The following is a 27,093-nucleotide window of genomic DNA, read 5'->3' on the forward strand; positions in this document are numbered from 1 at the left end:
CCGCGCACCCCGGGATCTGGGTGGTGCGGTTCGCAGAAGGAGGCGGGACTCTCCCACGAGCGCAAAGCTGCGAGAGGCTGAGCGAAGACGGGTTCGCGGACGTAAGAGGGGCGTGTCGGGCCTGTCATCAGCGCACGCGCAACACTGCCCCAGACGACGCGAGGTGTGCGGCCGCCACTAGACCCGGCCCAGCCCGCGCCCGCCGTCCGCAGCTCCCAGCGTGCCCCGCGCCAGGGGCCGTCTTCCGGCGGAAGTTGTCTCTTCGCCGCCGCCGCAGCCTCTGCCCCACTCGTGAGGGATCCGAGGGCTCCGTCCTTGTGCTGTCTTCGCCCCGGCTCCCAGGGGTCAAACGAGGGTCGGGGGTGGGGACACGCAGCCTAGCCACTGTCCTGCCTGGGATCCGGTCTCCCCCGCCCCCCGGCTGCAGGTAATCTCCCCATTCCTGCTACTGCGGGAGCGCCTCCGTTCTCCACGCCCACTTTCAGGCTTCTACTCCAAACTTATTGGATTACCTATTGCATATGGGACGTTTGGGGATTCCTGGACTCCTACAGAATTAGCCGTCAATAAATGAAACGTAGGCCGGGGCGCGGTGGCTCAATGCCTGTAATCCCAGCACTTTGGGAGGCCGAGGCGGGCGGCTCACTTGAGGTCAGGAGTTTAAGACCAGCCTGGCCTTAACATGGTGAAACCCCGTCTCTGCTAAAAACACAAAAGCTAGCTGGGCTTGATAGCGCGCGCCTGTTAATCCCAGCTACTCGGGAGGCTGAGGCAGGAGAATCGCCTGAACCCGGGAGGTGGAGGTTGCAGTGAGCCGAGATTGCGCCACTGCACCCCAGCCTGCGCGACAGAGCGAGACTTCGTTTCAAAAAAAAAAAATAATAATAATAATTAGCCGAGATGGGGTTTCGCCATGTTGGTCAGGCTGGTCTCGAACTCCTGACCTCAGCTGATCCACCCGCCTCGGCCTCCCAGAGTGCTGCGATTTCAGGTGTGAGCCACCGCGCCCGGCCTAAAACTACTTTAAATAAATGTTTTGCTTGTTTGGTAGGGTGGATAAAGAGGAAGATGTGAAGAGGAGGCAGACAAAAGCAAAAGGACATCCTGTCAGTAGGAAACGGCCGAATTACAATTCAGATGTGCAATGTTTGCATAAGTAAACTGACACGGGACTATTATATGCAGAAATCCACGTGCAAAAATTTTCAGACACACCTTTGTACCTCTTCCTAATCCTGCCCTGGTAAAATGGCGGTTATCAGTGCAAGTTTGAGGATACATACAGCTGGAAAATGGACATCACCAAACTGGACTCCAGAAAGTTCTGTCTAGGATTTTATTAGACTGCTTTTTTTCTCAATATACCTGTATTGGAAGATTGAGACAAAAAGGCACAAACTCACATTAAATAAACAAGGTAATCTAATCAATTCTACAAAGTGTAGTTTGTAAAACAAGTAGCACTAGGAACCAACCAAAGTAAGTCAGGGAGTCCCAGCAGGGACTGTAAAAGAACTTGGGAAGCTATACACATGCCCACGATACTGACCCTGTCCCGGACCTCTCTGCATGAGAAGGCCAGAGCCCAGCACCCCTCCTACAGAGGCACTGCTGCTTCTGTTGGGGCTGTGACCCTGGAATTCTGATGGAAGCAGCTGGTCTGAAGGGGCATGGCACACACTCAGGTACTACCCCTGGAGCTGAACCTTTATCATAAGTCCCTCTGAGTGCTAGTCAGTTTGGAGGTGGGTGAGGAGGAAAGGGGGTACTTAAAAGAAGCCAACACTGTTGCCCAGCAGCAACACCATCCGTGGGGATGGAACAGACCAGGGACATCCTCCTTTATGTTTATGTGGGCTGCAATTCCAGATCCAGGCTGACCTCAGCTCATAATGGATGCTTTTCAACTGGGGCAACAGGTGGAGGTGGGAGGAGCCCTTGTTAGGGCTAAAGTGATATGTGTGGGTCTCAAGAGCCAAAGGAAGGAGACTAACAGCTGCTGACCCTCAGACCACATAGACAACTGTCTGCCTAGAATGTCAGTTTGTTTCTTTCAAGATAACCCGCATCTGGACTTCCCCTAGTTGATGAATGAAGGAACATCTTTAAGCACAAATATAATGAATAGCTAACACAGAGCTTATAGGAAAACACTGACATTTTTCTCCAGTAGGAATGCCTCTTCTCCAACTTTCCAAGTCAGATAAATGCTACCAGCAGTTGAGATGCTACCCAGATGCATTACTAAAGACCCCTCAAGGTGAGGAGACTTACACAGAGGAAGGTGTCTGTAACAAGACATCTGGTTCCAAAGGGACCTCAATGAAGGTCAGCGCTAACCATGCTGGGGGTCTGAGTCTGTCCACCCTTGCCCCAGGAGGGCCACAGGGAAGCATCCATCAGGATGTCACAGGTGCAATCCTGTGAGACACTCCCTTATTGCACTTAGAAATGAGTAAGGCAAACAAACTGACAAAAACAGGATACATTCTCCCACCCACTTCTTGCTTCCCGGACAAAGATTTGGTCTCCCATTAGCAGATGCACCCAGGCTAGTGTGGGCTGGGATCACGGCACACTTAGGCCAACGTGCTTCACAAGGTTTGGGGAATGTCAGGTGACACTACAGCTCTCTCTCATTCTCCCACTAAGAGGCAAACTCAGGCTCTGTCAAGTTGCAGGAAGCTATGAACACTGGGCAGCGTCTGTTCCCCTGGAGCCTGGACTTCCTCACCAGCCTACTTTGGTCGGGTTCTGTACTATGATCACTACTTGCTTTGGGTTTTCCAGGGCAGAACTCAACATGGGGGTAGGACGAGCTAAGTTCTTGATCCCCAAATTCCTTTCCGGCAACTGGAGACGAGGGAACATGTTCTGCTGGAAAAAGCTTTTTGCATGCTCATATTGTGCAGCATGAAAGATCAGGACTCTTGCTTCCTAACCAGCCTCAAAGACAGAGGACAGGGACCTAAGAAAGCACAGAGAAAAGAGGATTATTGCTGAGTGGCAGCACCAGCCCCAAAGGGAAGAGGAGGAGCAGGGACTTACAGAGCTCCTCGGGGTCAGACAGTTGGTATCTAGGGGGTGACTCAATTCTAGGGGCCACACTGGACAATTCCCTCCAAGTGGAGAGTTGACTGGGGCGATTTTGTAGACTGCAGAGAGATTCAGAGCGGGCAACAGGAGGGCCAAGAAGCCACAGGTGTTTCTAAGAGTAGTAACTAGAGATTCAGTGATTGGGACAGGGTTACTCGTATTTGTTAAATTTTCTTAAATAGAGACTGGCTGAGCCTTGGGTACCTCCATAGTGCTAGAGTGCCCTAACGATGGGTTACTGGGAGCAGAAGTCAGAGCTGCAAAACCACATTGCTATTTTGTGGAAGCGGTGCGGGGCAGGGAAACATTGTATCTTTAGCTCATCCCCGCTCCCCACAGGAGCACTCAAAATTGCGAAGATCTTCCCAGGAAGCAAAATACCTCAGTTTACCCCAAGGTTGAGAACAAATGAACTTAAATCATTTAAATCACCACATCACAAAAGGCAGCTATTTGAAAGACTGAAAATGTCACTTGGAAATAAAGGTTGGGGGAACACACAGAAATGGATCGGAACACAATGGAGAGAGACGGAGGCGCTGTAACTACAGCAACCTACACGCCACGTATCTCGGAGGAGCAGGCTCCTGCACACGCGGGCTCTGTGACACCAGACGGTCTATTTGTTCACAATACTGAAGGGCATCTAGAATTAGCTACAGTAAGGAATCGAAAGTTGCCTGAAGAATGGGCACAGAACGGCTGCGTCCGAAAATGGCCTGTCACTTGGGAGGGTGGAGCTGCTGGGTCTTCCTGTTGACCACTGTCTTGCAAAACTAGAAGAAAAATGAAAGTATTAAGGAAGCAAGAGGAGAAAACAGAAACACTGTAAATCGTCCTGAATGGATAATTTCAAGAGGAGGAGGGAAGCCAGTGGGTGGGTGGGGAAGGGAGTGGGGGAGAGCACTGAGGCCCAGAGCAGTGACTGAGAAGCTGGCATCACAGCAGTCCGCCTCATTCCACCCTCCAGCCTCCCCGAGGCTGCTTTGGGAACATGGGGCAGGGAGAGTAAGCAGGGCCTGCCGTCACTCCTGGTGAGACCCTGGCCCTCCTTGCCCGTAGGGTTAGAGGCCAGCTTTTATTTGTAAAAATAATTTTCTCTCTGAGGCTAATTGGGAGCAGAGCCAGGTTTTTCATTCAGTGATTAAGACTGCTTTGAGCTGCTGGAATCCCATGACTCGGGTGGTGTACAGGGCACTGGGAAACCAGCACCGAGAGTTAACGGAAGGAGGGGGCTTGGGGAAAAGTGACAACATGAAACAAGGGGCCCCCAATCTGGCCCTGTGACCTGGGCAGAAACACCCTCCCAGCATCTGAAAGATGCCACCTCTGATGAGGGCAGCTTAGTATGGGATCGGGGGTATAAAGAAGGAAATGAAGCACCAGACAACAGTGGGTGCTAACAAAAGCTGTCTGGCCAGCAAGTTTTCCAAGGGGGAAGGGCAGGTAATGGCAGCTTTTGGGAGCTGGCGCTGGCGTGGGAAGGCCAGGGAGTGCCCAACATGACAGCTGCAACTTGAGATGGATCAAGCTGGCAGACAGGAGGAGTGATTCGCAGCAGATGAACTCCCCTTCTATATCCACCACCCCCTCCCTGTCCATTGTCTCTATCTGGGTGGTTCTTTGGAAAATGTCCCTGAAATGTCCCAAGGGCCATAATCTCCTAGTGGAAGTGGAGAGCTATCGAGCGTGGCAACCATCATTACTAGAGGGAAGGAGGAATAGGTTTTCTGACTCCATAGTGAGCTGCTGAGGCCTTGAAACCCAAACTGATTTTAGCGTCTGTGACACGCACAGTGAGAAATTTGGTACGTACAGTGCAGAGGGGAAAGGCGGCTTTAGTCATCTGCTGTCATTCCTTTCACTGGGTCCTTTTGTCTCATCTGGAACAAAAAAAGCAGGACAAATGGAAGGCTCCTGCTGCTGATGGAACTCCTGCCTTCTCAGTCCTGCCCATAGGTGGGGTGGGGCATATTTTGTGTAAAAAGCAAGACACTGGAAGGACGGAAGAATTCTGCATATGGACTCGAAGCCATACATTTCCAGATCTGTGTCACTGGTCTCACCATCCATGATTTCTAGTTCTCTCGTGTCACGGTGTTTGAAGCACCTTTTTTTTTTTTTTTTTTTTGGTAAAGAGGTGTGTGTGGGGGGGTCTTCCTATGTTGACCAGGCTGGTCTTGGGCTCCTGGCCTCACACGATCCTCTGCCTCAACCTCCCAAAGTGCTGGGATTACAGCATAGGTGTGAGCCACCACACTTGGCCCGTTTCATTCATTTATTCATTCAACAAATACTTATGAAACATCTTTTTTTTTTTGAGACGGAGTCTCGCTCTGCCGCCCAGGCCGGACTGCGGACTGCAGTGGCGCAATCTCGGCTCACTGCAAGCTCCGCTTCCCGGGTTCACGCCATTCTCCTGCCTCAGCCTCCCGAGTAGCTGGGACTACAGGCGCCCGCCACCGCGCCCGGCTAATTTTTTGTATTTTTAGTAGAGACGGGGTTTCACCTTGTTAGCCAGGATGGTCTCGATCTCCTGACCTCATGATCCACCCGCCTCGGCCTCCCAAAGTGCTGGGATTACAGGCGTGAGCCACCGCGCCTGGCCGAAACATCTTTTTTTGTGTGTGTGAGGAGTCTTGCTCTGTCGCCCAGGCTGGAGTGCAGTGGCGCAAAGTTGGCTTACTGCAACCTCTGCCTCCTGGATTCAAGCGATTGTCCTGCTTCAGCCTCCCAAGTAGCTGGGATTGCAGGTATGCACCATCACGCCCAGCTAATTTTTGTATTTTTAGGGGAGACGGGGTTTCACCATTTTGGCCAGGCTGATCTTGAACTCCTGACCTCAGATGATCTGCCTGCCTTGGCCTCCTGAAGTGCTTGGATTACAGGCGTGAGCCACCGCACCCAGCCTCAGTGAGGCATCTCTTTAGTGCTAGGGACTTCCAGAGGGCTGGGAATATTTAGCTGTGAACTAAACAGACCAGTTCTCTCCTCAAGGAGCTTATATTCTGGGGCAGGATGGGCAGAGAACAAACATTCATCTATGTCAGCTAGGACTGTGGGCTGCTCGGATACAGAATGACTGTGGGTAAGTGCTATTTTAGGTAGTTACAGAAGCTTGTATGTGAGGTTTGAGATGAAACCTGAGAGAAATGAGGGAGAAAATCCTGTGGCTCTCCGGGAGAGGAGTTCCCGGCAGAGTAACAGAACTTCCCTTTCCTGACCTGTTTAAAGGTGGGCACAATGTGGTGTCAGAACTAGGCACAAGGATGCAGAGGTGGAAAGTGCAGGTGCAGGTCTCAGATCCACAGATGTGCAAGGCTGCTGGAAAACAGGATGGGGGCTTCTGTGGAAGCACCAAGTGGTCCCTGTCACTGGCACCTTCCAGGCAGACATCACTGGGGATACTGTAGACGTCATCTCTCTAAAATCAGTTCTGATTTGAAAACTCCATTCTATGTGAAGAATGTCAATAAGTATTTCTTCACTATCCATTAGTTTTCTGCTCAACTTTTGTTCTTTATAATGTTCAACAAATTTTGAGCACCTAAGAGCATAGCTGCTAGAATGAAACTCCCTAGACTGTATTGTTTTGTTTGAGACAGGGTCTGGCTCTGTTGCCCAGGATGGAGTGCAGTGGCGCAATCATGGCTCACTACAGCCTCGACTCCCTGGCTCAAGTGATCCTCCTGCCTCAGCATCCCAAGAAGCTGGGACTACAGGCATGTGCCACCACGCCTGGCTTTTTTTTTTTTTTTTTTTGAGACACAGTCTCTCTCTCTGTCGCCAGGCTGGATGGCAGTGGTGTGATCTCGGCTCACTGCAATCTCTGCCTCCCGGGTTCAAGCAATTCCCCTGCCTCAGCCTCCCCAGTAGCTGGGACTATAGGCACACGCCACCATGCCTGGCTAATTTTTTTTTGTATTTTAATAGGGACGGGGTTTCACCATGTTGGTCAGGATGATCTCAATCTCCTAACCTCACGATCTGCCTGCCTCAGCCTCCCAAAGTGCTGGGATTACAGGCGTGAGCCACTGCACCCAGCCACCTGGCTGATTTTTTATTTTTTCGGTGTGTGTGGGGACAGGGTCTCATTGTATTGCCCAGGCTAGTCTCGAACCCCTGGACTTAAGTAGTCCTCCCGCCATGGCCTCCCAAAGTGCTGGGATTACAGGAATGAGCCACTGCACCTGGCCTGGATTGTATTCTGACTCCATCACTAATTGTATGACCTTGAGTAAGTTACTGCAATGCTCTCTAAGCCTCAGTTTTTTTCTTTTTTCTTTTTTTTTTTTTTTTTGAGACGGAGTCTCGCTCAGTCACCCAGGCTGGTGTGCAGTGGCACGATCTTGGCTCACTGCAAGCTCTGCCTCCTGGGTTCACGCCATTCTCCTGCCTCAGCCTCCCGAGTAGCTGAGACTATAGGTGCCCACCAACACGCCCGGCTAATTTTTTGTGTTTTTAGTAGAGACGGGGTTTCACCATGTTAGCCAGGATGGTCTCCATGTCCTGACCTCATGATCCGCCCGCCTTGGCCTCCCAAAGTGCTGGGATTACAGGCGTGAGCCATCGCACCTGGCCTTTTTTTTTTTTTTTTTTTGAGACAGGGTCTCACTGTGTCACTCAGGCTGGAGTGCAGTGGTGCGATCACCATGCAAGGCTAATTTTTGTATTTTTTGTAGAGAGAGAGTTTTGCCATGCTGCCCAGGCTGGTCTCACACTCCTGGACTCGAGCAATCCACCCACCTCAGCTTCCCAAAGTGCTTAGATTACAGGTTTGAGCCACTGGGTATGGCCTAAGCCCCAATTTCTATAATAATAAAATAGAGATAACAGTACATAGGATTGTGATGAAGATTTAAGATGTGCGGTCAGGAGTTCAAGACCAGCCTGGCCAGCATGGTGAAACCCCATCTCTACTAAAAATACAAAAAATATTATCTGGGCATTGTGGCAGGCACCTGTAATCCCAGCTACTTGGGAGGCTGAGGCAGGAGAATCGTTTGAACCCGGGAGGTGGAGCTTGCAGTGAGCTGAGATGGCACCGCTGCACTCCAGCCTGGGCGACAGAGCGAGACTCCATCTCAAAAAAGAAAAAAAAAGAGGTTTTCGTGTACTTAGCAGAGCAGAGTGCCTGACGTGGAGTATGCACTGAGTATTCGGGGCCTGTGTAGAGATGAAAATTACTGGAGACGCGGTTCCAAATGCTGTTTATGTTATAGAATACAAAATTATTATTGTTTTTGAGACAGAGTCTCGCTCTGTCACCCAGGCTGGAGTGCAGAGGCACCATCTCGACTCACTGCAACCTCTGCCTCCTGGGTTCAAGCGATTCTTCTGCCTCAGCCTCCTGAGTAGCTGGGATTACAAGTGCACACCACCACGCCTGGCTAATTTTTGTATTTTTAGTACAGACGGGGTTTCACCATGTTGGTCAGGCTGGTCTCAAACTTCTGACCTCATGATCCGCCCGCCTCAGCCTCCCAAAGTGCTGGGATTACAAACATGAGCCACCACACCCGGCCAATAAAAAATTATTTGAGACCCTGTTTCAAATGTTGTTTATTTTATTCTTTCGTTCCAGACACTGTCCTATAGCAAAGGAGATGTGTATAGAAGCTCTGAAGAACCTGGAATTTTAAGCCATAGCCCACTTCAGAATTGTATTCTAGTCACTGAAAATTTAATACTGCCACATTTTGTGGAGATTCTATCTCTGGCAGTAGTTCTCCACTGGGAAACTTTTTTTTTTTTTTTTTTTTTTTTGAGACAAGGTCTCACTCTGTCGCTCTGTCGCCCAGGCTAGAGTGCAGTGGCACGATCTTGGCTCACTGCACCCTCCACCTCCCGGGTTCAGGCGATTCTCCTGCCTCAAACTCCCGAGTAGCTGGGATTACAGGCATGTGCCACCATGCCTGGCTAATTTTCTATTTTTAGTAGAGACGAGGTTTCTCCATGTTGGCCAGGCTGGTCTTAAACTCCCAACCTCAGGTGATCCGCCTGCCTTGGCCTCCCAAAGTGCTGGGATGACAGGCGTGAGCCATCACGCATGGCCAGCTTGTCATATTTTTAAAAGACAACTCTGTGATGTTAGATTGGAATTAGATGCATTTGTGTGAACATGATATATGACGCAGATACAGAAATAACTATAAATGTACAAGTCCCCTAGCTCTATCCTATGAGAAGGTCTGGGAGCTGCAATACCCTAGTGGAAATAGGCACACCAGCAACCAGATCTCATTTCCAAACACCCCCCTCCACTATATGGAAGCAGCGCTCCTTGAAGATGTGGCCAGTTACAGGGTCATGAAAAAACAAGACAAACCCAGAACACCTTGTGCTTCAAGGCGACAGCAGTAACCTCACCAGTAACTGGACAGAAAGACACAGAATAGGATAAAAAGAACAGAGTCTGTGACATTCAGGCTTCAAGTACACACAGGTGGGGTCTAATCATGCAGAAACATCAACGAATCCACATTGAAAGACATTCTACAAAATGATCAGCCTATAACCTCCACAAACGCCAAAATCGCGGAAGTTCAGGAAAACTGAGGAGTGGCACCAGATGGACAGAAAGGAGAGCTGTGATGAATGGGGTGAAGCGCGTGATTCTGGGCTGTAGCCTTTGCTCTAAAGGAATAGTCTCTGGGCAAAGGAGTGTACAGGAGTTCTTGGCACTGTTCTTGCCTATTTTCTGTTAAGTTTAAAACTCTTTCATAATAGAATTTTTAAAAAGACAATTTGCTCACTAATGACCATTTACAAAAGTTTTCAATAATCAGATAATTTAATATCATGGGAGCAAAGCTCCTTCTCAGCCGGCTCCTTACACATGCTGAGAGTTCACCACCTGGCTTCAGTTACTAATGCAAAGCCAGGTCCTGTTTTCCCACCGCTTGAAATAAGATGCAACCTCCTACCAGGAACATGATAGCTTCCCCTACTGTCAGAAACAAGGTTCCCCATACCACTGAAATAAAATTCATTACTTCAATCTTTTTTTGTTTGTTTTTTGAGACGGAGTCTTGCTCTGTCACCCAGGCTAGAACACAGTGGCATGATGTTGGCTCACTGCAACCTCTGCCTCCCGGGTTCAAGTGATTCTCCTGTCTCAGCCTCCTAAGTAGCTGGGATTAGAGGTGCACCACATCCAGCTAATTTTTGTATTTTTAGTAGATGGGGTTTCACCATCTTGGCCAGGCTGGTCTCGAACTCCTGACCTCAGATGATCCACCTGCCTCAGCCTCCCAAAGTGCTGGGATTACAGGTGTGAGCCATCGCACCCAGCCCATTACTTCAGTCTTACAATGATCTAAGAATGCTTATTTCCTGTTTCCTGGGGCCTACACGACATGAGAGATTTATCTGATGTTTGTGGTGTTCCTCAGATTTAGCCAATGTAGGCTATACATACACATATAATATGGCTGAAGAAAATGTGTATGTGAAAATAGGAAAATAGAAACTTCAATCCTGGTTGGTTGGTTTGTTTTGAGATAGAGTTTCGCTCTGTTGCCCAGGCTGGAGTACAATGGTGCGATCTCAGCTCACCGCAATCTCTGCCTCCTGGGTTCAAGTGATTCTCCTGCCTCAGCCTCCCGAGTAGCTGGGATTGCAGGCGTGCACCACCACGCCTGGCTAATTTCTTGTATTTTTAGTAGATGGGGTTTCTCCATGTTACTCAGGCTGTCTCAAACTCCCAAGCTCAGGTGATCCACCCGCCTCGGCCTCCCAAAGTGCTGGGATTACAGGTGTGAGCCACCGTGCCCAGCCCTGGTTTGTTTTTGTTTTTAACAGTGGTTTCCTTTAGGGAATGAGGCCAGGGGCTGAAACAAGAAGACTTTTATTTATGTATTCACCTATTAGTTATTTGGACTTCTATTTTTAAATTTTTTTTCTATCTTTTGAAAATCATTTTGACCATTAAGTATGAAATACACCTTTGATCTAAAAAAATAGTAAAGTGTCAATGTTAATATCCGAGTTATTACATTGTACTATAGTTTTGCAAGATGTTACCATTGGCAAAAACTGGGTAAAGGGTACATAGATCTTTCCACGTTATTTTTTATAACTGCAAGTGAATCTTTCAATCATTTCAAAATAAAAGGTTCGGTGCAGAAATGAAGCTGGCTGGGTGTGTTGGCCCACGCCTACAATCCCAACACTTCGGGAGGCTGAGGTGGAAGGATCACTTGTGGCTGGGAGTTTGAGACCAGCCTGGACAACATAGCAAGATCCTGTCTCTACAAAAATTAAAAAAATTTTAAAAATTAGGTAGGCGTGGTGGCCTGCACCTGTAGTCCCAGCTACTTGGGAGGCTGAGGTGGGTGGATCAGTTGAATCCAAGCGTTTCAGGCTGCCATACTCCAGCCTAGGCAACAGTGTGAGACCCTGTCTTGTTCTGTCGCCAAGGCTGGACAGTGCAGCAGCATGATCTCGGCTCACTACCATTTCTGCCTCCTGGATTCAAGCGATTCTCCTGTCTCAGCCTCCCAAGTAGCTGGGATTACAGGCACACACCACCACACCTGGCTGATTTTTGTATTTTTAGTAGAGACGGGGTTTCTCCATGTTGGCCAGGCTGGTCTGGAACTTCTGACCTCAGGTGATCAGCCCAACTTTAGCCTCCCAAAGTGCTAGGATTACAGGCTTTTGAGCCACCGTGCCTTAAACTGTATTTAAAAAGAAAACAGGGCCAGGTATAGTGGCTCATGATGGTAATCCCAGCACTTTGGGAAACCAAGGTGGGAGGATCACTTGAGACCAGTAATTCAAGACCAGCCTGAGCAACATATTGAGATCTTGTCTCTAAAAAAATTAGTCAGGTGTAGTGGTGGGACCTGAAGTCCTAGCTACTTAGGAGCTTAACGTGGGAGGATCACTTGAGCCCAGAAGTTGAAGGCTGCAGTGAGCTATGATCACAGCACTGCACTCTAGCCTAGGCCACAGAGCGAGACTGTCTCTCTTAAAAAAAAAAAAAAGAAAAGAAAACAAAGCTACTTCCATAATTGGGGATGTTGGCTGATGTTCCAGATGGTCTGCAATCACTGCCAGCAGGTTGGAGGGAATTAAGACTCCCTGAGTGGCTGGGCATGGTGGCTCACACCTGTAATCCCAACACTTTGGGAGGCCGAGGCAGGCGGATCACCTGAGGTCAGGAGTTCAAGACCATCCTGGCCAACATGGTGAAACCCCATCTCTACTAAAAATACAAAAATTAGCTGGGCGTGGTGGCGCACACCTGTAATCCCAGCTACTTGGGAGGCTGAGGCAGGAGAATGGTGTGAACCCGGGAGGCAGAGGTTGCAGTGAGCCGAGATTGCGCCACTGCAGTCCAGCCTGGGCGACAGAGCAAGACTCCATCTCAAAAAAAAAAAAAAAAAAAGAGAGAGAGAGACTCCATGAGGGCAGTGTCATCCTTCACATATAGGGATCCTGCAGCCTCTGCAGCTCCTATGAAAGTTTTAGAGGCTGGGCATGGTGGCTCATGCCTGTAATCCCAGCACTTTGGGAGGCCGAGGCAGGTGCATTGCCTGAGCTCAGGAGTTCGAGACTAGTCTGGCCAACATGGTGAAACCCCCTCTCTATTAAAAATAGAAAATTAGTGGCGTGTAGTGGCGGGCGCCTCTAGTCCCAGCTACTTGGGAGGCTGAGGCAGGAGAATTGCTAGAACCTGGGAGGTGGAGGTTGCTGTGAGCTGACATTGTGCCAGTGCACTCCAGCCTGGCGCCACTCCACTCCAGCCTGGGTGACACAGCAAGGTTCTGTCTCAAAAAAAATAAAATAAAATTTTAGATTCTTGGCTGGGCACAGTGGCTCACAACTGTAATCCTAGCACCTTGGGAGGCTGAGGCGGGTGGGTCACCTGAGCTCAGGAGTTCCAGACCAGCCCGGGCAACATGGGGAAACCCTGTCTCTACTAAAAATACAAAAATTAGCCAGGCGTGGTGGCGGGCACCTGTAGTCCCAGCTACTCAGGAGGCTGTGACATGAGAATTGCTTGAATTGGGGAGTTGGAGGTTGCAATGAGCCAAGATTGCACCACTGTACTCCAGCCTGGGTGACAGAGCGAGACTCTGTTTCAAAAGAAAAAAAAAAAAAGAAAACAAGTTTTCTTAACATTTTTTAAGTGAATTCTCTTTTCTGAATCTCATTATCTAAAGAGTTAATGGCCAAAGGCCAAGAGGTACTTGTTCAGTGAATTATAAAACGTCCTCAACTTCTGTGAGCCACAGTTTATCTATAAAATGAAACTAATACCTGTGTTACAGGTTGCCATGAAAACTGGGTGATGTAATACATGTGAAACTCTTAGCATACGTGATAGGCACACAGGAAGTCCTCAATAAATGTTAGCTTCTATTAATAATACAAATATTTTTATTACTACCATATTTGGGAGACAGTGAGTTCCCCATTACAGGCAGTAATCAAGCAAAGGCTGGTAGGGAAGCTTCAGAGAGTACTCAAGCACTGAACATATAATTGGACCAAATGACCTTTAAGATACCTCCTTCCATTTTTCAGATTATGGGCCTCTTAAGAGAGTAAGAGCTTGGGAAAGGGAGAAAAAAGGCAAGTTGGGGAGAAAGAGAGAGACAGAAACTGCTTTCCTACAGGCACATAGTTCCAGAAATTTTTTCTTTTTAGGGCGAAGAACTAATCTCTCGATGCCTTGCTTCCCAAATCTTCAAGCCTCATTCAAGAATGGTGGGTCCGCCCGGACAGGGACTAGAGTTACAGCAGTGATGACTGTGGCCTTGCAGTGACCCTTCATCACTCACAAACAAAATCTGCCTGCACTAGACGACTATGTACTGGCTTAGAGACTAACAGTCATAATTCCTATTCCAAGTGTGCAGTTCATCACGGTGCATGGAAGACAGGCATCTATCTCTATTCCTCCCCCAAACCCTATGACATGACAGTAAAGGAATTTAAAAAGATAAAAACTATGAAGACAACAGGAACAGAGGACACCACAGCAGGTAAGAGCCAGTTAACAACCTTTTGGGAGATGGAAAAAGGACAGAAGAGTCAGTAGCTAATTTGCAGAGCAGCAAAAGCTGAACCTAAGTGCCTGGAGGATGGAGAGCGGAGAAGGAGCTGCAGGTTCTGCAAAGGCTCAGGAACTGGAAGCACCAGGTCCCGCTGCAGATGGGAGTACCAGGTGTGGCTCAAAACTGGTGACTTTTTGAAAGTCCAAATGGAGAACGGTTAGGAACTGGTGTTCCCTTCTCCTGCTCTGGAAGTCAAGCAACCACCCTCCTTTCCTTCACAGCAAAAGCCAGGAGGTTCACTCTCTGAAGCGCTGAGGGAACCCTGACCTCAGGACCCCAGGTGCTGCTAGGGGGAAGGTGGGCAAGAGGCAGAATACGACGGAATTAAAGTTAAAGCGAATCAATGGCACAATGAGCCCACTGGGACCCTTCCTCAGTGTGGCCTCCAGAATGCTGGCTGCCTGCCTGTCTCCCACAGCAAGAGACAGGGGAGTCCTCTATAGGGAAAGTGACAAGCCTCCGTGAAAAAAAGACTCGAAGTCCTGAGGTAGAGGTTCCCGCCCCCGAATGTAACTACCGAGTACCCTGAGGTAGAGGTTCCCCCCACTGTAACTACCGAGTACAAGCGGGCGCCTGTAGTCCCAGCTACTGGGGAGGCTGAGGCAGGAGAATGGCGTGAACCAGGGAGGTGGAGCTTGCAGTGAGCCGAGATCGTGCCACTGCACTCCAGCTTGGGCAACAGAGTGAGAGCCTGTCTCAGAAAAAAAATAAATAAATAAGAAAAATTAAAAGGATTTTGAGCCTGGGAGTTTGAGGCTGCAGTGAGCTATGATCATGCCACTGCACGACGCCAAGCACTCCAGCTTGGGTGACAGAACACAACCTCACCTCTTAAAAAAAAAAAAGAACTACTAAGAGCATCAGCATAGATTATTTGAAAGTATGGAAGTAATTAACAAAAGCAACAACCATCGGAATTACAAGGGGCTGCTTCTGAGGGGTGGGACTCATAATCCTGGGATGCTGAGTTTTAAAACTACAAAATATAACTTTGATGAAACATATATTTTTAGATAGACAAAAAAATAAAAAGGCAAGCCACATCAAGCGTAGTCAGCACACAAAGGTCCTGCACAGTTGCTGAAGAGACCACAACATGTACCACAATGAGGTGGACTTGCTTTCTCTCCCACTGCAGATGAGTTTTAAAATTCTAATTCCAAAGAGAGTTTCTTCTATTTGCAGTTATCCTGGAGGACAGTGATCACCTAAGCTTTTGGCATGATTCTCCATGGAATGGAGAAAGATTTTCTTTTCTTTTTCTTTTTTTCCTTGAGACGGAGTCTTGCTCTGTCGCCCAGGCTGGAGTGCAATGGCATGATCTCTGCTCACTGCAACCTCTGCCTCCTGGGTTCAAGCGATTCTCCTGCCTCAGCCTCCTGAGCAGCTGGGATTACAGGTGTCCGCCACCACGCCTGGCTAATTTTTTTTATTTTTAGTAGAGACAGGGTTTCACCATGTTGGCCAAGTTGGTCTCAGACTCCTGACCTCGTGATCTGCCCACCTTAGCCTCCCAAAGTGCTGGGATTACAGGTGTGAGCCACCGTGCCTGGCCGAGAAAGATTTTCAAAAGGGTCTGAGAGATTAAAAAATAACTCTCTAACACTGAGGGCTCTCAAAGTTTGGATCTGAACAAAGCAGATCCAGTAGATCCTCTGGAGAGTTCTTCTAGCTCCAAGAATTTGAGTTCTACCCGAAGGAATGAAAGGTGGACAGCAAATACTTCCACGAACCCCAACATACGTCATGCTGGCCTTTGTCAGGCAGTGGATGGCTGAAGCTCCAGGCTAAAACTCCAATGAAAGTCTCCATGTTTCCTCATTTGTTAACATTTTCCCTTTCTTTTTGTCAGGACTAGGGTGACCAAAAGCCTCAGGCTTCTCTTACACAGTCACAATCACCAGACCCCTGGACACTGAGGTCTACCCCTTCCTAAAGATCCTTAGCGAAAGAATCAGGGACTGTGCCCCAATGAAATCCTGCCACTTCCCTGCTAAATGTAGCTAAATGAATAACCAAAACATCTGTCTTCAAGAGGAACCAACTCAGTGCACCACTTACCAGTGAGTCAGCCCAGGAAAAGTGTCATTCTGGATGGTAAAAACAGTTCCCTGCGGGGTTCCAGAGGAAGAACTTCTGGACCCAATTTTCGCCCTAGACCAGCATGGTGAAGCAGACACCGTCCGTGCAGCATGGGCAGCATGGGCGCCCAAGCCTGGCTCTCACCTGAGGCCCTGCAGGAGAGCTGAGTGGGCTGTTGCAAAGCAATGCCTCTACTGGATACCCAAACTCCATGCCAACCCCACCTGGGGCAAGGAGGGAGAAGTGATGGCAGTTCTTATGAAACAGAGCTTCCTGCCTTATCATATTTTTAGCTCCAAGATGGCAGGAGGGCCCAAAATTGCATTTAGAGGGAGGAGTACAGGGGAGTGATTAAGAGCTGTGGTTCCAGGGCCAGAGAGTCCTGGGCTCTTACTCTGACCATATCACCTGCAAGACGGTGTGACCCAGAGCACCGCAGCATTGAGCTCTCAGAGCCTCCACTTCCTCATCTGAGGGTAGGGAGAGCAGCAGCGCCTCCTCATGGGGTATCGTGAAGACTGCAGTAGGTAAAGGCCCTCAGAATGGTAGACGGCACACAGTGAGTGCTTGAATGTTACTAACTGACAATCTCCTCTGAGTGGGCCTCTCAAGGAAGCATCAGCATCTCCAAATGAGGCATGAGAAGTGCTGGGTCTTTAGGCTCCTAAGGAACAGGGAACCCTCCTTCTGCGATCCACGCCAAGACCAAAAAAAGAAAAGCAAAAGCTCTCAACTCTGATAGCTCAAAATGACCGTAGACAGCCGCCAGCTGTCAGCTCCTGCGTGCGCTGTGGCTGTCCTCTGTGGGTAATGTGCATGGTATTCACAGGTCAGCCCAGCCTGCCTCCTCCCAGGGTCACCTCCAGCTCTGCAGCCCCGCACGCTCTTTCCCACCAGGCTCTGAAGCATCGCTGTAGCAGCTGTATTACCCACTTGGCATTCGGCACATACTGCCATTTTTGTCTCTGTGGGTATGCCAAGACTTCAACTCAACTGTCAATTCAAGAGCACAGGCTGTTTTCTTCCGTATAGTGCCCACGTACTGCCCAGGATACCGTCCCTGTAGCAGACACTGACGTGTTCCCAGAACTACAGGATGGTGCTCTCGGTGAAGCGCCCCAGCAAAACAGTCTCCTTAATCTTCGTTTGTTTATCTAATTGAGAGCCCCCAGAGCCCCCACTTACTTCATCCAGCTGTCTCTTCGTCTCTTCTTCCATCCTTCGAATGTCGTCCATGGTCAGGTCAACCCACTTATCGAGCCAACAGAACAGCTGCCTGTGGAAGTTTGTAAACAGACGCCTCTCTTGCTATAGAAAGGAGGGAACCACGTTAGAACGCAGAAGGCAAAGGCTGCTGCCACAGCCCTTCTCTCCATGCACTCCACACGAATACCCACACTAGACTGGGGACGGGCGGACAGGAGGAGGAGTAATGCCCGGCTGGTTATCTGGACCAGCCATGGGTCAATGACCTTTGCCTTCACGTGTCTAACAGGTATGGCTTCACATAGGAGGGAGCCCCCAAGAAAGAAGGATGCCTACCTCACACTAGGCCCTCTGCCCAAAGCACCAGCAAGACAGCAGCCCATGAACTCCTAGGCAAGCCAAGGGCCCCAAACCACTGCCACATTTCTTCCTGTCTCTGGTGTCTAATGCCAGATTAAAACTGGCCAGCAGCTATGAAATATGGCCCAAGTGAGGCTCAAACATGTCGGAGGATTAAAAGGCTCTAAAACTCCTTAGACCTGCCCAGCAGAGTAATTCAGGGCACCGGCCAACCTGGCTCCCAGCACCTCTTGCCTTTCAGCTGCAAGAAAAGAAAGACTGAGTTTTATCTGTAGGTCAGTCATAGCAAGTCCCTTCCTGTGGCCTTCTTTTGCCTCAGTTTCCTTCCCTGTCACATGTGGTGTCCCTGGAAGGACAGCATTAAACCGTAAGACATTTCAGTGCAAGGGAAGGTGGGCAGCTGGGAAGCCGCCAAACTGTGAGGTATGCTCATGTTGGCAACCCTGTCATGCAGGCCACATGGGCTGGGCCATCTTCTTCACTGGGCCAAACACCCCCCACCGCACACACACGCAGTCACTGGGAAGGCCTCAGCCGAGCTACTTACCTTATGGATGAAGTTCTCCACCACCCCCCACCGCACACACACGCAGTCACTGGGAAGGCCTCAGCCGAGCTACTCACCTTATGGATGAAGTTCTCCACCACCCCCCCACAACACACACACGCAGTCACTGGGAAGGCCTCAGCCGAGCTACTTACCTTATGGATGAAGTTCTCCACTTTGTTCTGCAGGCCCCACCACTTGAACTTGACGGTCACCAGTTTGTATGCACACATATATGGGCAGTCCTTCTGGTTTACAAGCTCTTGCTGCATTAGAAACATACCCATGGGTACGCAAGTAACAACGGGCAGACCTCAGGCCGTCCCCAGCTCACCCCAGCCATGCCCCTCCTCCACAGGGAGCGGCCCACCCACATGCTGCCCAGCCCCCTGGCAGTGAAGGTGTGAATGGTACCTTCCAATTGGGGCCCAAGGGTCCTCGGCCTGTTTTGATAGATTTAAATTTTGCTGGGTCTTCCTCTGCCTTGTAATCCTGAGAGAAATTGTGGAATTGGGGTTGGAGGGGAGTGGGAGAGGGAGTGAGAGATGGGGAGAACAGATCTTTCATTAGCATTCACTCCATACCAGATCTTGATGCTGATGGCACAAAGCAAATATGGGAAAATGTTATAAACAAGATGTAGAACTGTTTACATTAGCCTCAGAGGAGAGTTCTATGTGATTTTCTCCGATAGGGTTTGTTTTCCATTTTGCCAGTGTGAAAGTATCACCAGACTGTCTGAGCAGGCACATATTTACCGTGTTGAAGACAGAGACTTTCAACCTGGGGTGAGCATCCAGATCACCAGGGAAGACCTTTTTAAAACACAGATTTTTGAGTCACTCCAACTAAAACCCAGTGACTGAGAATATCTGCAGGTGACGGCAGCACAGATTTGTTTTTTGTTTTTTTAAATCTCTGCAAGTGACTCTAAAATACAGCCAGCGCTCAGAATACCCGGCTGTCATTCCTTAAATCTTCCAGTGCAATCTCCCTCTGGCTTGTTTTAACAAAATCATTACTGGAAATGTTCAGTGTATGGAACCTATCCACTACTGGTGAGTCTCACTTCACAGATTTATAATGCAGTCAATTTCCTGTGTTAATTAACCACAACAAAAGTTTAATTTTCAGCTGTCCCTCTACATTGACTAATGTGGGCTCAGGAGATACAAACTTATAGCATCTACTTAACAAAAATAACAAAGATAATAAATTTCTCTCTCTCATAAAGTATTTCCCAAAGCTGAGAAGTTTTTTTTTTTTTTCTTTTTTTTTTGAGAGGGAGTCTCGCTCTGTTGGCCAGGCTGGAGTGCAGTAGCGCGATCTCGGCTCACTGCAAGCTCCATCTCCCAAGTTCACGCCATTCTCCTGCCTCAGCCTCCCCAGCAACTGGGACGACAGGTGCCCGCCACCATGCCCGGCTAATTTTTTTTGTATTTTTAGTAGAGACGGGGTTTCACCGTGTTAGCCAGGATGGTCTCGATCTCCTGACCTCGTGATCCGCCCACCTTGGCCTCCCACAGTGCTGGGATTACAGGCGTGAGCCACCGCGCCCTGCCTTATTTTTTTATTTTATTTTTTTGAGACAGCATCTCACTCTGTTGGCCAGGCTGGAGTGCAGTGGCACGATCTCAGCTCACTGCAACTTCCACCTCCTGGGTTCAAGCGATTCTCCTGCCTCAGCCTCCTGAGTAGCTGGCATTACAGGCGCCTGCGACCACGCCAGGGTAATTTTTGTATTTTTGTAGAGACGGGGTTTCACCATGTTGGCCAGGCTGGTCTCAAGCTCCTGACCTCAGGTGATCCACATGCCTCAGCCTCCCAAAGTGCTGGGATTACAGGCATGAGTCACTATGTCCGGCCGATTTTTTTTTTTTTTTTTTTTTTCAGATAGAGTTTCGCTCTGTCGCCCAGGATGAAGTGCAGTGGCACAATCTCAGCTCAATGGAACCTCCGCCTCCTGAGTTCCAGTGATCCTCCTGCCTCAGCCTCCCAAGTAGCTGGAATTATAGGCATGCGCCACCACGCCCAGCTAATTTTGTATTTTTTTTTTTTGACACAGTTTCACTCTTTTTGCCCAGGCTGGTGCAAAGGCATGATCTCGGCTCACTGCAACCTCCGCCTCCTGGGTTCAAGCGATTCTCCTGCCTCAGTCTCCTAAGTAGCTGGGATTACAGGCACCTGCCACCACGCCTGGCTAATCTGTTGTATTTTTAGTAGAGACAGGGTTTCACCATGTTGGCCAGGATGGTCTCGATCTCTTGACCTCGTGATCTGCCCACCTTGGCGTCCCAAAGTGCCGGGATTACAGGTGTGAGCCACCGCACCTGGCCCTAATTTTGTATTTTTAGTAGAGACGGGGTTTCACCATGTTGGCCAAGCTGGTCTCAAACTCCTGACCTCAAGTGATATGCCTGCCTCGGTCTCCCAAAGTGCTGGGATTACAGGCGTGAGCCAATGTGCCCAGCCTCTGAGGAGATTATATTTATGTGTGCTTTAAAAAATAAATATTCACCATCACTGCTTCCCTCCACTCACACAGATCAACCAGAGTTGACAAAATACTCAAAGAATCATACTTTTTGCTAGTATCCAGTTTGAGAAAATTCATCAAGCTGCATACTTATATTCACTTTGCTGTATATGTTAAACTTCCATAAAAAGCTTTTTGAAAAATCCACCAACGTTTTGAAGGTGGGGGTTGGGATATTGGGCAAGGAAGCACAAGATGGTTTTTATATCTTTTCGGAAATGCACAAATCAAAATAACTTTGTGTGTGTGTGTGTGTGAGATGGAGTCTCGCTGTGTCGCCCAGGCTGGAGTGCGATGGTGTGATCTCTGCTCACTGCAACCTCTGCCTCCCGGGTTCAAGCGATTCTCTTGCCTCAGCCTCCCAAGTAGCTGGGATTACAGGCACGTACCACCAGGCCTGGCTAATTTTTGTATTTTTAGTAGAGATGGGGTTTCACCATGTTGGGCAGGATGGTCTCGAACTCAGGACCTCAGATGATCGGTCACCTTGGCCTCCCAAAGTGTTGGAACTACAGGCGTGAGCCACCGTGCCAGGCCCCAAAATATCTTAAGTGCAGAGTGACCACAGGAAAGAGGTATCACACCCCTGGGATACAAAGAGCAAACACACATTCCCTATCAGTGGGCAGAGAGTTACATTCCTGTCTTTTAATCCCAATGAGGCCTCTGCCTAGTAAGAATGGTAATGAATGAGGAGGAATCTAACCCCCTCATTCCCTGAGCAAATACTTCTTGGGTGCAAAACAGTGAGCAAGCCAGACCTGGTCCCTCTTTTGACCAAGGTCATGGTCCACCAGTGGACTGTCCTTTTCCAGGGGTCTGCTCCAGTGTGTGTTACTCTGAAAAGGCGCCACCGACTTCTGGAGGGCAGGGGACCTGTCTTTCCCTGCATTCTGCATCCCTCACCTGGAACCCAGAGATCCTGACAATATTCCACAACCCAGTAGGCAGGAAGTAAATGTTTTTTTAATTACTGAGTTGGAAAAATAAATTTGAGAAGTGGTGCTCCGATTTTTCAGGCTAAGCATCATTTTAGCAGGGCAAAATACTCTAGCTACAATACCTACTTAGTCCAGTAATAATTTTCAGAGGCCAAACAGGGCACACAAATTTGGGCCACTAATTTTCTGGTGGCATCCCCAACTCAAGACAAGAAATCTCCTAATACTCACTTTTAAAAATAAAACAAGCAAGACACATCAGAATTTCCTTTTGTGCCAAGTTGGGTATGGTTTCCTGGTTTCTTTAGCATTGAGAAGTCATTTCTGCGTCTCGAAGGCCACCCACGTCTTTAAACGGATCCTACCTTGCTGAGCACTTGGCTTCGATCTGCAATGTCTATATATACGGCTTCCACGTGTTTCCACGCCTCAGGCTCCAGCTTATGCACCTGTGGGAACAAGTGGGGAACCACTATGCAGTTTTTGTCAGTTATAAAATATCCTTTAGCCAGAATGGACACCTAGGAACTGCCATTCCCATAGCCACAGATGTAAGATTCCTAATGATAAGTAATTATACAATTACATACAAAATTATCCAAAGAAATGGGAGAATGGATTTTTTTTTTTAAGAGATGGGGTCTCACCGTGTTTCTCAGGCAATGGCTATCCACAGGAGTGATCACAGCACACTCTAGCATGAACTCCTGGGCCGGAGTGATCCTCCTGCCTCAGGCTCCTAGTGATCCTCCTGCCTCAGCCTCCTGCCTGGGACCGAGGGATCCTACTGTCTCAGCCTCCTGCCTAGGCCCGAGTGATCCTCCTGTCTCAGTCTCCTGAGGAGCTGGGCCCGAGTGATCCTCCTGTCACAGCCTCCTGAGGAGCTGGGCCCGAGTGATCCTCCTGTCACAGCCTCCTGAGGAGCTGGGCCCTAGTGATCCTCCTGTCACAGCCTCCTGAGGAGCTGGGCCTGAGTGATCCTCCTCTCTCAGTCTCCTGCCTGGGCCTGAGTGATCCTCCTGTTACAGCCTCCTGAAGAGCTGGGCCCGAGTGATCCTCCCGTCTCAGCCTCCTGAGGAGCTGGGCCCGAGCAATCCTCCTGTCACAGCCTCCTGAGGAGCTGGGCCCGAGTGATCCTCCTGTCTCAGCCTCCTGAGGAGCTGGGCCTGAGTGATCCTCCTGTCTCAGCCTCCTGAGGAGCTGGGACTATAGGTGCACAACACTGAACCCAGCTGGATTGTCTGTTTGTCTGAGATGGAGTCTTGCTGCGACGCCCAGGCTGGAGTGCAATGGCGCGATCTCGGCTCACTGCAAACTCTGCCTCCCGGGTTCAAGCGATTATCCTACCTCAGCTTCCCGAGTATCTGGGATTACAGGCGTGGGCTACCACGCCCAGCTAATTTTTGTATTTTTAGTAGAAACAGGGTTTCACCATGTTGGCCAGGCTGATCTCAAACTACTGACTTCAAGTGTTCCACCCGCCTTGGCCTCCCGCCCAGCCCCCGCTGGATTTTAAGTGACATGACTGAGAACGAATGCTCTGACTATTGAGGGTAAACGTCACTTCTGCAGGTCAAAACGCCTTCCGGATGTTTACGGTGCCCACACCATTTCCATGTGTTCCCGGCTGTACAGACTGTAAACCCTTCTAGAGATGGTGTCTGTTTAGCAACATGCTGACCCGCTGTAAAGACTGTAAACCCTTCTAGAGATGGCGTCTGTTTAGCAACATGCTGATTATTTTGATCAGGCTGTACATGCACATAATACAAAATTATGACACAAATTCAAAATTACAAAAGGATACAATATAGAGTAACTAGAGTAACTCCTCTTCTTGCTTGTCCCTCGTCCCCAGTCTAGTAACAGCCACCTCTAAGAGATCCTACATACAAACATCCATGTGCGTGGATTTTTCTTTTAATATGAAGGGCGGCATGCACACACCTTGTTTCATAACTTCCATCCTTCACTGAACAGTCAACTTGAAGACTGCTCTCTATTGGTTTTTCCATGGCTGCAAGGATGTCACTATTTGGCTGAACCACAATGCATTTAACGTTGTCCTACTAACGGGCCTTTTTTTTCTCTTTTTTTTTTTTTAAGACAGTGTCTCGCTCTGTCACCCAAGTTGGAGTACAGTGGCGTGATCTCGGCTCACTGCAAGCTTCGACTCCCGGGTTCACGCCATTCTCCTGCCTCAGCCTCCTGAGTAGCTGGGACTACAGGTGCCCGCCATGAAGCCTGGCTGTTTTGTATTTTTAGTAGGGACAGGGTTTCACCGTGTTAGCCAGGATGGTCTCGATCTCCTGACCTCGTGATCCGCCTGCCTCGGCCTCCCAAAGTGCTGGGATTACAGGCGTGAGCCACCGCACCCGGTCTAACGGGCTCTTATGTTGTTTTTTTGTTTTTGGAGACAGGGTGTCACTCTGTTGCCCAGGCTGGAGTGTGGTGGTGCAGTCACAGCTCACTGCAGCCTTGACTTCCCAGCCTCAAATGATCCTCCAGCCTCGGCCTCCAGAGTGGCTGGGACCACAGGCACATACCACCATGCCCAGCTAATTCTTTTTTTATTTTTGGTAGAGACAGAGTCTTGTTATGTTGCCCAGGATGGTCTTACATTGTTTTTGATCTTTGGCTACACAAAGAAGACTGCAATGAGTCTCCTTGTATATATGTTATTTCACACATGTGAAAATAACTGTCTAAATTCTTGGGCATGGAAATGCTAAAGGATAGGTGTATTTTATTTTTTGGGAGTTACTGCAAATTGTGCTCTATAGAAAACTGTAATTTTGGTCTTTTAAAGATATAGCTCCCATGTACCAGGAACTGCACCAATCCAAGCAGTACGAGAAGGCCCCATAAAAAGTTCCGGAGATCACATTTTGCAAATCAGAGACATAGCAATCCCATGCTGGTAAGATAGGTCTAGGCAGAGGCCACTGCCTTCCCGGCCAGGCAAAAGAGGACCACAGAGAGGACCCCATGGTAGCCCTGGAGAGGCTACAAGGCAGAGACTCAAGACCTCACCCCTGGGGCTTTTGGGAACTACTACTCACATTCTCCTGCGTGCCAAGATCTGGTTTGTGCCAGGTTTCAATTTTAATCAGAAAGTCTTCTTTCATGTACTCATTCTGGAAGAAGGAAAAAAAATACATGAAAGTCACTAGGTTCACAGTTGAGAGTAACCATCTCCCATTACTGGAGATGGGCATTACTGGATCATGGGCAGCTAGGAGATTCCAGCCTCTGCCTTGTAATAACAGTTAACTTGACTGGGAGCCCACGACACACTAGGCATGTATTATCCCATTCAATCCTCACCCCAGCCTGAGAGCTCTGTAGAATCACCCTCATTTTACAGATGAGGTTCAAAGAGGTTAGGTGACTTAACCAAAGTCACAGAGATCGGGCCAGGCATGGTGGCTCACGCCTGTCATCTCAGCACTTTGGGAGGCCGAGGCGGGCGGATCACTTGAGGTCACAAGATCGAGACCAGTCTGGCCAACAGTGGTGAAACCCGTCTCTACTAAAAATACAAAAATTATCCAGGCATGGTGGCGGGTGCCTGTAATCCCAGCTACTCGGGAGGCTGAGGCAGGAGAATCGCCTGAACCCAGGAGGCAGAAGCTGCAGGGAGCCGAGATTGCACCACTGCACTCCAGTCTAGGAAACAACAGCAAGACTCCGTTTCGAAAAAAAAAAAAAAGTCACAGAGATCACGACAGAGTTGGGTCTCAAAACAGTTTCGTCTGACTTCAGAATCCATGCATTTAGCCACTCTGGGTAGTAAGCAGTGTGGAAAGAGCACAGAAGACTTCCTAACCCATCGAAGATACTCACCATGGCCCCTTTCCCTCCAACTAGCCTGTGGCTAAGGCCTTAAGTTTTCTTCTCAGTAACTGAACCCTTCAAGCTAATTATTGCCTCCCTCCCTCCCTTCCTGCTTCTTAAAAATTGGAACTTCTCAAAGGAGGAACACATTCACCCATTAACGCCTCAGCAGGAACCAGTTTCCCAGAGACAGCCAGTGTTTACCGGCAGGGACAAGGCACTCAGATGAGTGTGCTGAATGGTGGGCGGGTGGGCAATGACAGAGGGGACGGCTGTGGAAGAGAAACCCCGCTGACTTCACGACTTTGCCAAGGATCAGTGCTCAGTGGACTCAACAGATGCACAGATGGGGAAGGGATGTCGGTCAGGTCAGTTGAATGGAGCTCTCTCTACAACCTTGAAAAGGTGTGACCTGGGGAGGCAGGGCCTCGAGCCACTGTGTCCATGTCAGACCCACAGCCAGGATGCACTTAATGGAGCCGCAGGCCAATGCAGCTTAAAGCAGGAGGTCATCATGCCAGTTAACAGGTTCCTTGTTAGTCCACTGACAGGACTGAGCCTCAGCAACTCCAAACATCAGCCAAGGGAAAGAACACCCAAGACCACCAGTGCAGTTACATTTTTCTCTCTCCTGTTCTTATACATCATCTACAGTTCCAACCCCCTTGACAATACTTACTGTAATAACTGCTCCGAGGCAAGGACATGGAAAGAAGAGAGAAAAAGATTAATGAAGATGAAGAAATATCTGCCCCCCACCCCCCACAAGGAGGACGAATGGCAGAGTGTACTTTACTCCCTGTGGCTTATTCCACGGTCACCTCCAAGCCCCAGTGAGTCAGAAATACCTTAACGCACCAACCCTCAAATTTCACTCAGACAAACATCCCAAAAAACCAAACAGGGAATTTAATTAAAGCGACGCCGCTATGGGCTTCTTGGGATTCTTTTCAGCAGGGCACTGACAGGGACCAGCTCTGATCAGCAGAGGTGCCGCAACTCATCACTCTGGCATCAGAGCGTTCTCCGGCGCCTCCCACCCCTACCCCAGCCTCTACCTCCCGGGGCACAGAGCAGGGTGCTTTGGCCATGCACTGTATCTGCCTCCTGCACCCTTCCTCTCGCTGTAATCAAACCTCCCAGGCTCTGCACTCCTGCTCATTGTAATGGGAACCCCTTAGAAAGCATGGTTCAATTATTTATCAGAGAAAATGACTGCACCTCTCATGTCACTGGGGAACAGACTAGCTCTGCTCCTGAGACCGCCCGGTTCATTCTGTACCCTCTGAATTTAGGACCTATGTCCACTTCTGCTGGCTGCCCCACTGCCATGTTTGTAGAGTGTGTGGGGTAACAAACTCCAGAACTGAAGTTAAGGTGACCCCGGAGCACAAAATGAGGCAAAGTTGAAATATAAAG

The 27,093-nt window shown here is 49.1% G+C and overlaps 1 protein-coding gene and 1 long non-coding RNA gene across 3 annotated transcripts in view, besides 3 other annotated features; one reads left to right on the plus strand and one right to left on the minus strand.

The window, feature by feature from the left end:
• Positions 32–331: a silencer, noted in NCBI's record as "silent region_7960". NCBI's record gives its function as "represses an Ori minimal core promoter by ATAC-STARR-seq in GM12878 lymphoblastoid cells {active_cell/tissue: GM12878}" and the evidence as "EXISTENCE:reporter gene assay evidence [ECO:0000049][PMID:35858748]".
• Positions 253–1,430, plus strand: PITPNA-AS1 (PITPNA antisense RNA 1). The gene is made up of 2 exons (NR_028514.1): positions 253–427; positions 1,052–1,430. It is a non-coding gene; the product is annotated as a PITPNA antisense RNA 1 (long non-coding RNA).
• The window catches only part of PITPNA (phosphatidylinositol transfer protein alpha), a 45,075-nt gene continuing 19,033 nt past the window's right edge, over positions 1,052–27,093 (minus strand). For both annotated transcript variants that reach the window (NM_006224.4, XM_047436299.1), the window contains exons 5-12: positions 26,354–26,361; positions 24,900–24,974; positions 22,203–22,286; positions 18,775–18,852; positions 18,516–18,626; positions 17,433–17,555; positions 4,913–4,979; positions 1,052–3,872 (exon numbers count right to left, since the gene is read on the minus strand). In NM_006224.4, the coding sequence (NP_006215.1) occupies positions 4,935–4,979; positions 17,433–17,555; positions 18,516–18,626; positions 18,775–18,852; positions 22,203–22,286; positions 24,900–24,974; positions 26,354–26,361 (524 nt within the window). In that variant the 3' untranslated portion in view covers positions 1,052–3,872; positions 4,913–4,934. The remainder of the gene's footprint in view (positions 3,873–4,912; positions 4,980–17,432; positions 17,556–18,515; positions 18,627–18,774; positions 18,853–22,202; positions 22,287–24,899; positions 24,975–26,353; positions 26,362–27,093) is intronic.
• Positions 17,992–18,492: an enhancer, noted in NCBI's record as "H3K4me1 hESC enhancer chr17:1437952-1438452 (GRCh37/hg19 assembly coordinates)". NCBI's record gives its function as "activates a minimal SCP1, AML or CMV promoter by ChIP-STARR-seq in naive H9 embryonic stem cells {active_cell/tissue: H9 hESC(naive)}" and the evidence as "EXISTENCE:reporter gene assay evidence [ECO:0000049][PMID:30033119]".
• Positions 25,518–26,278: an enhancer, noted in NCBI's record as "NANOG-H3K4me1 hESC enhancer chr17:1445478-1446238 (GRCh37/hg19 assembly coordinates)". NCBI's record gives its function as "activates a minimal SCP1, AML or CMV promoter by ChIP-STARR-seq in naive and primed H9 embryonic stem cells {active_cell/tissue: H9 hESC(naive and primed)}" and the evidence as "EXISTENCE:reporter gene assay evidence [ECO:0000049][PMID:30033119]".

The sequence above is a fragment of the Homo sapiens genome, chromosome 17, assembly GCF_000001405.40.
Source record: "Homo sapiens chromosome 17, GRCh38.p14 Primary Assembly".
NCBI lineage: Eukaryota > Metazoa > Chordata > Mammalia > Primates > Hominidae > Homo > Homo sapiens.